The following is a 9,224-nucleotide window of genomic DNA, read 5'->3' on the forward strand; positions in this document are numbered from 1 at the left end:
CATAGAATAGTAATGATGGTGTGTGGTAAACATACAATTTTTGAAGCTGGTGTTACACTGATGCTGTTTGACATTTAGTACTAATACTCTATAAACGGCTATTCGATAAGAACAGGAAGAACTTAAATTGGACATTAGCTAGTGAATGACTAGAAATTCTATCAGGATCTGTTCATTTAATTTTGTCTTGTCCTTTCAGAAAATGAATCTATAATTTATAACTCTCAGGAAAAAAATATTGAAATCTTCACATAGCTCTATTGATTCAAATTTTAAGATATATAGATGTTAAAACAATCTTATAATAAAATTATCACACCATTAAGATGGTTACCAGGAAGACTTCAGCATTTTTACTAGTTCTTTGTTTTACTTTTTTCTCTTAGTGGTTTTTTTTTTTTTTTCCCAGTCTCTCTAATTATCACCTATTCCATCTATAGGCATCTTAATCAGTTTTGGCCATACACATTTACTCAGAATTCCAGAAGAAAATTAGATTGTATAATACATGGTTGATTTCCCTTTATGTTAGCTTGACAAATAGCAAGTGACAAGATTAGCCATCCAGGAATCCACAATTAAAGACTATGGTTTAATTATAACCATGTTAATCAGACTGGCAGAATTTTTTGCCCAGTCCTCTGATAAACCAATAACAAAAATTACCAAAGTCTTCTTTGGTATAAAGAGAGGCAAGGATAATTTGTGAAAATAATAGCTTTTGCTTGAAAGATATAGAGGTTTACTCATTATGTTTTCTAGAATGTTTTCATTATATTTTCTAAAATAAGAGAATTAGCTTATGGTGTGAGATTCGGGGTTCTGGATTTTTAGAATTTTAACTGCTTTCAATGAAAAAGATTCATTATGCACAATACTGTTGTTATGACCATTTTACTTTTTTTTTTTTTTATCATTTACAAACAAGGACAGCACATGTTTTAAGTGATGCTTCTTTGCACTATCCATGACCTGTGAAACTGCTATTACCATCAGTGAAAGGATGAAGGAAATCATCTGACCTTGGAAAATAGTAACCATTTACCTTTAGTCACCAACACTTTCTTGTGATGAGATGTTCTGTTAGTGGCTGTACTTATACTTGTTATCTCAGTGTAAATGACTGTGTACTGTTTCCTTCATACACTGATTTGCAGATGTGCAAATTAGAGAAGTCTACTAGCTAGCATTCCTTTTCACCCAAACTGCAGAGGAGAGATGCTTTCACTCTGTTAGTTATATGATTACTTTGCTGAGACCATTTAATGCTAATATGCGCTTTTGTCTGCATTCATCTTTTTGCTTTTAGTTCTGCCAGCATAGTCAGTTGTTACCCCCTCCTCATGTGCCTCAGCCTTGCTATTGGAGCCATCTACCTAGCTGACTTAATCTCTATTTCCATAGAAAATAGACATGTACAAGTTTAGTAATTCCCTATGACATGGCAAAAAAAAAAAAAAAAGCCCTGTAGAGACTTGTAAACTATTCTTTAAAAGCACCTAAGAATGAAATGTCACATTGCATGATAAGAATAGTTAGTGATGCCTGTAATCCCAGCACTTTGGGAGGCCGAGGCGGGCGGATCACGAGGTCAGGAGATCGAGACCATCCTGGCTAACACAGTGAAACCCCGTCTCTACTAAAAATACAAAAAAAATTAGCCGGGCGCGGTGGCAGGTGCCTGTAGTCCCAGCTACTCGGGAGGCTGAGGCAGGAGAATGGCGTGAACCCGGGAGGTGGAGCTTACAGTGAGCTGAGATAGCGCCATTGCGCTCCAGCCTGGGTGACAGAGCAAGACTCCGCAGCCCCCACCCCCCCCCCCCCAAAAAAAAGAATAGTTAGTGATGTGACACAATTAATGGTCTATGCTAGAAGTGCCATAGTGAGGCTTTTCATATTTTTAGTCATCAGTCATTCATTGAATATGTATTAATACATGTGTGTATTAGAGTTCTCCAGACAAACAGAACCCATAATATATATAAAGATATAAAGAGAGAGACGTATTAGGAGGAATTGGCTCATGAAAGATTACGGAGGCTGAGAAGTCCCACAATCTTTCTGCAAGCTGGAGGCTCAGGAAAGCTGGTGGTATAGCTCCAGTTAAAACCTGAGGCCTGAGAAGCAGTGGAGCTGATGATGTGCTTCCAGTTAAAGGCCAAAATCCCGAGAAGCAGGCAGCTGCTAGTGTCAGTCCTGGAGTCTGAAGGCCCAGGAACCAAGATCACTGATGTCTGAGGGCAGGAGAAGATGAATGTCTCAGTTTAAGCAAAGAGAGCAACTTCGCCCTTTCTCTGCCTTTTTATTATTTTCAGGCCCTCAATAGGTTGAATGGAGCCCATTGGTGAGGGCAGATCTTCTTCACTCAGTCCGCTGATTCAAATGCTAATCCCTTCCAGGAACACCCTCATAGACGCACCCAGAAATAACGTTTTACCAGCTATGTGGGCATAGCTGAACTGACACAAAAGCTGACACAAACTGACACAAAAGCTTAACTCTAACAACAACACATCTTTCTTTCTTTCTCTCTCTTTCTTTTTCTTTTCCTTCCTTCCTTCCTTCCTTCCTTCCTTCCTTCCTTCCTTCCTTCCTTCCTTCCTTCCTTTCTTCCTTCCCTCCCTCCCTCCCTCGCTCTCTCTTCCTTCCTTCCTTCCTTCCTTTCTCCCTTTCTTTCTTTCTTTCTTTCTTTCTTTCTTTCTTTCTTTCTTTCTTTCTTTCTTTCTTTCTTTCTTTCTTTCTTTCTCTTTCTTTCATACCATTAACTGTTCAGTCAGAAAGTAAAAGTCATAATAAAGTATTTTGATAGACATTATAGTCTACATTCAGACAGACCTATGTTTGAATCCTGACCCATTCTCTTACTAGTAAGTTTACTTAGCTTCTATGAAATGGGTTTTACCTTTTGGGATTATTCTGAGGATATGATAAATTGATAAGCTTAAAGTGGCAACCAGGGTCTTACTGAATCTGGGTCCCACTCTTGGGTGTGTAGTTGTGGGAAATAAGCTACTTCCTGAAGCTCTAATGCAGATACATTTATATCGTAGATTCCCTGAGGACTGTAAATCACATCGCTATGTTGAAGATGTTTGGTGTTAAGGACATAGCAGTACAGGATTGTGATGCCATGGAGCTAATATAAATAGGATAAGTAGTTTCATTCTATGTATAGCCATGGGCAGGAGGAGGTGGATGTCCCTTTGGATATTTATGTCATACCTTAAAAAATCACATTGCTTCAAAAATAATTTTCACTTTATAATTCATTTATACTTACTTTTTTATTAAGTAACTTTCAGTCATATAAAATAAAATTTACAATGGTAATGATAATAAAAATAGAAAATCACTAACTAGTAAACAAGTGGTCAATATTATATATAATATAAAATTATATATTTTATATATAATGATATTATTAATTATTAATTGATATATATTTTAATATGATATATATTATAAATGTAAAAATACATATGGTTTTATATGTGTGTGTGTGTGTGTATACACACACACACACATATATTTGCCTTTATGTTAGTTTCCAAGCTCCTTTTAACCAGGGTAAGATTGGCAAAACAAGTTGCAGTATTTTATTATCAGAAGGGAGGACATATATATGTGTGTATATATATATATATAATTCATTCAGTTGAAATAAAATTTTTCACATGGGACTTTGAAGCAGACATATAAAAGGCAATCTCATCAATGATAAATTTATGAAAAATATAGAAGCAAATTTACTATAACTATTTCAACTACTTTACAAATTCTGAAGATACAACAAGTGTTTACAATTCAGTGAGAATTATACTAAGAAGCACTAAGATAATGTGATCCAGGCATATGTCTTTCTGGTGGTCCAAGCAAGAAGTGAATGCAAATGAGAAAATACTGATTGTAGTAGATAAAGAATGGAAAGTATTTCCCTTAAACAACTTTCCATCTGCTGAAATTTTAAGAGTGAGTGATTTGATGTGGCTTAGTAATGTCAGTGTTCTACAGTGCTAAGAATAAAATTAGATTCTTTAGAGACTGAGATGACATTAGGAAAGTCAAGAAATATATCTATTGTTCTGTCTTCATTAAATATCTTCTACCTCTATGTATGTGGTTCAAGAGAATCCCAAAATTGTGTTTAATAAAGGTTTTACAAATAGCTTTTCTACATTCCTTTATCTGTTATTACATTTGATTGGTTTTTAATTGTTTTTGATTGTCTCCCTTTCCCCTTCTTGGAGCATCTCTCGCTGTACTCTCTCCCTGACTCTCGGTGATTACCCAGGTCCTACTTCCTTAGTAGATGAGGCCTGTGTTCTTTAGTTCATCAATTGCTTACACTTCTAACTATAACCTTATCTGATTCTCAACTATCTCTGTCTCCTTGCCTTTAATCACAAATGGTGCAGGGTACTTCTCTTTCTTCAGGTCAAACCAGGTCAACTCAGGGCAATCTCCTGTGATCCTGACTTCCATCTCTTAAGAGACTGTGAGCTCTTCAAGGTCAGTTATTATGTCCTAACCACTTTGGTCTTCTCTAGCAGGTGTATAGTTGGCCTCCTTATGTCCCCTGGGCCTTACCATCTGAATCACTAAACTGGACGTTCTTTGCTTGGGCTTGCTCTAGCACCTGTGCACTCTAGTCACATGCACTGCATGTGGAGATCCTAGAGAATTAATCCCTCCCTTCCCCCAACCCAGGTTCAGCCCTCAAATGATGACTTCTAAAAGTTGGTATATACATATTCCAGCCCTCTTGCTCCTCAGGCAGGATAACTAGGATGAACGTGCTCTACACTGGCTACCAGAATTCACCAGCCTGATTCAATTCTAGTTGACCCACAGTAATGCTTAATAATGTACCTTTCATCAGTTTTCATCTTTTCCCTGTTTCTCTTTGCTTTCCACTTCCCCTACCCAGGTGTTTCCCTGGATCACTTCCCAAGGAAATAACTTGCAAACAAATCTTAGTTTCTGGGTTTGCTTTCAGGGATATATATAAAAAAAAATGTTTTCTACACCCAACTCTGAGACTATCACATAGAGCATTATAAGTGTTTGTTGAGTGAATAAATGAATAAAATTAACAAATCATGAATCTTGCCATGTTACTTGAATTCATATGAGCTAAACTGTATTTTAAGGTTTTAAATAACTCAGCTACTATTCTTGCCATATTTGCACTACACGTTATTCAGTATCTTGTCTGTATTGTAGTAAACTTAGATTATCTTTGCTATAAATTGCTTTACCATGTCAATACATATTCTTTCATGTTAATATTTTTCTAGATTGTAAAACATTCCCAGATTAAAGCACGTGCAGTCTACATGCCAGGAATGGTTCACAAATAGCAGAAGTTTAAGCTAGTAATGCCAGCTTTATCTGCAAAACAGATCACAATGACAATTGCAAGCTTCTGCTGTTGATGTTGAAAACATACGTTTGCTGTGCCTCCTAAATAAAAATAAAACCTAGTCACAGAAGACACATTTGTGCTAGGCAAAGACCTCATTGGAATCCCTTATTACTTCTCAGCTATCTGGGGCCAAAATACCCTTGAATATTTTTTTGATCATTGCCTCTCTTAATTTTTCCAAAATTGTAAAGTAAGTTAGGCACCATGTAAAACTTTAGGATTTGAAGATGCTTTTTCTCTTTGTCCTCCACAGTCCAGCAGAGGGAGCAGTGTGTCACCCAGAAAAGCTTCAGCCACACACATACTTGAGCACTGGATTCTATGAGACAGACAGATGCTTGGATTTCGGTGAAAAGTATCCTTGACATAAGCTGAGAGCAGAGGCGCAAAAATGCTAGCGAAAATGGAAAGGACAGTCACATACACAGTGAAATTTGAGAGACTGAGTCAAACATATCTCAATCAAAATCTGCTTCCTAATCAGTTCTATTAATGCACTGAAGATTCCTTGGAAAAAAGAAAATATTGTTTAGAGGAAGAGAAGGCCACCCTAGAGCATTACGACTCATGAAAATCTTCAAATGGATTAGTCAGTAGGAAGCAGTGAGTATGATGACTAGCAAATTAAACTTTGGAGTCATGCTGTGGACTCAATTCCTGACTTTCACATATTAACTGTGTGACTTTATTCAAGTGATATAATACCTTGAACACTCACACTCTTTACCTTAAAAGTGGGGATAATAATATCAACATCATAGTACAGTCATAAGTATTAAATACCATAAAAGGGCTTAGCATAAATCATCAATAGTATCTCAGTAAATGTTAGCCCTTCTTGTTCGATTGATTAAAGTTATTTACCATGACCCTCAGGAAAAGAAACAGGCCAATGTGAAATCCAGTGCAAATAATGAAAAAAGGAAAATTACACAGGTGGAAAATTCTAGGGATGAGATAAAATGATAGGTCTTGAATTTTGGAGGCTGCCCAGTGTGCATCCACCGATATTAGGCACCAGAGAGTAGAAATATGAGGGTAGGAGAGGTCACCAGAAGCAGCAGGAAGTAATAGTATTTAAGTCAAGTACTGCCTCGCTTGTACATTTATCTGGCTTGATTGTGCCAGGAAAGTCTTCTTTCACTGGGACCAAAGGGTTCAAAAAGAGGGTGAAATAGCTAAACTCAATGCAGAGCTTTCTTCAAGTCAAATTTTCTTGAGTGTACAAAACATTAAAATGTTGGCAAAGGCATATGAATACTTGGCATCAAGGGCAACTAGGAATAAAGGTAGACTGAGCTTCCTTTTTTGTGTGTATCAATCTTATTTTAGTTCTGTTTGGATATGGGCCAGCCCTTGGGACACAATTTTTCTCCTGCTCTTACTTCAAAAATCATCATTGTGTCCATTATCCTTGCCTGTCTTTCAGGAGTATCCTTCCTCTGTGTTAGATTTTTTGGAGGTGTATCCACAGCTGTATGGAACCAGAAATGACCAATGCTAAAATAGTTTATCCATGCTGCAATCTGATCCTTTCCTCTTTCTCCATCTCCCTCTGACTTCTTATTCCTCCCTTGAAAATTAACTGTTTTATTTCATAGTCCGTTGCATTTTACCTGTATTTTTCCCCTCAATTTTGTGCATGTATATCGAAGGGTTGTTGCTGTGGCAACCTTCTGTGAGGAAGCTTTTGAGCTGTTCTATTACTATATATTAAGGTAGATTATAGAAGGAATCATTTTTAAAATAGAAATTTAACCAAATTTATATCTAAAAATGTTAGAGCACCAGGACTCTGAGTGTAAAAATCTTCTGTAATTGAGTTCATTATTTACAAATATTATTAGTGTTATTACTCTTTGTGTTCATTTTTACCTTGGGTTTGGAGAACCATTTTCATTTTTTTTCCTTTTTATCCTAGAGCATACTGCAAGTCGGCATCTGGTACAATTGTTCTCAAGTGTATTTCTCAATATGTGCTATAATAAGTGTCTCTCTATTTTCTTTAGTTTTCAATAAATATTTGCTCATAATTTTTCTTTTCCTCTTCTTAATTACTCTTTATGAAGCAAAACTTCTATGTATAGAATGTGTACTGGATCCTCTCTTAGATGAATCTGTCATGTATCAGACCATCATGCCCTCAGAGTGTTATGGAACAGCTGTGATTTCTGACCGTGACTCTCGGGTAGGTATCAAGAAATAGGAATATGGAAAGTGAAGTCTAGCCTTGTGTAGTTTCTGCAGTTTTTCCTTTTCCTTCATTTCCACAGTTTCTACTTATGAACTGGAATTCTCTTGTTCTTCCACCAGTGGTGTTTATGGCACATGCACACACACAAACACACACTCCTCATTCAGAGAATTGTAGAGCTGACTAAGGAATTAACATATTGCTTTCAGTGGGAAAGGTTTAAAGTGCCTCTTCCTTATGGTTTCTTCTTCATGGCTCTCTTTTATCCTCATAGTCTACATTTTTCAAGCCTGTATCTTTAGAGTCTCATAATTTTTAGGTGCACTAGACCAAGAATTCCTGAGAAGAGAAGTTATAGCTTTCTCATTTTTAACATACCCTAGCACAGGATCTGGCACATTAAAGGCACTTGGTAAATGATTTGTTGTGTGCTGTAATGAAGGTCATACAGATACTATATACACATAATTTTAAAGAATCGTAACCATTTTATTATGTCCATTGGAATTAACAATGTGCAACACAGTGTGTCCCCCATGTAGCAGTGGCATCAAATATATGGGCGTTGGTCAGGCCTGGTGACTTATGCTTGTAATCCCACCACTTTGGGAGGCAAAGGCAGAAGGAAAGCTTGAGCCCAAGAGTTTGAGACCAGCGTGGGAAACATGGCAAAACCCTGTCTCTTGGCAAAACCCCCAAAATACAAAAATTAGCTGAGTGTGGTGACACATGCCTGTAATCCCAGCTACTTGAGAGGCTGAGGTAGGAAGATCACCTGAGCCTGGAGAGACTTAGGCTGCAGTGAGCCGTGATCACACCACTGCACTCCAGCCTGGGTGACAGAGTGCGCAGAGTGAGACTTTTTCTTTCATATGTATATATATGTATATATGAGACAGAAAATTCATATATATATATATATATATATATATATATATATATGGAAGTTAATTCAGTTCATTTTAATATTTGTTCTACATTTTTGGACTGATTGAATGGCTATCCTAAATAATTTGTCTTTGCTAGCGTTTGTATATACATCCCTGCCAGTACTGAAATGTGTTGAAGTGGTTTGGCACTTGAAGGAATAGTTCATGAATTCTAAGGAGTAAGGCCATTACCCTACCTGACATATTTGGTACAGAAGTTTTAATCTCTAAAGTATCAAGCTTATTATTAAAATTAAGGTTTTGCTTTAGTATATATTTATATTAGAAACTTCACTTTCTCAATTCTTTGAGTTTCATATAACAAAAAGCTTTAAAATACCCCAATATATAAAAAAACTTTTATGTTGATGTTCTGATTTTAATTAACCATTTAAATTATAGAGTAAGCCATTTCCCTTCCAACTTTATCAATATCAGAATTACAGAATTGCTATTTTAATTTTTTAAGGTTAATTTTAAATTTATCTTTTTGAGACAGAGTCTTGGTCTGTCACCCAGGTGGGAGTGCAGTGGTGCGATCACTGCTCCCAGGTTCAGGTGATCCTCCCACCTCAGCCCCCCAGGTAACTGGAACTACAGGCAGGCACTAACACGCCTGGCTAATATTTTAAATTTTTTGTAGAGATGGGACCTCGCTATGTTGCGTGGGCTGGTC

Source organism: Homo sapiens, chromosome 2 (genome assembly GCF_000001405.40).
Source record: "Homo sapiens chromosome 2, GRCh38.p14 Primary Assembly".
In the NCBI taxonomy this organism is placed as follows: Eukaryota; Metazoa; Chordata; class Mammalia; order Primates; family Hominidae; genus Homo; species Homo sapiens.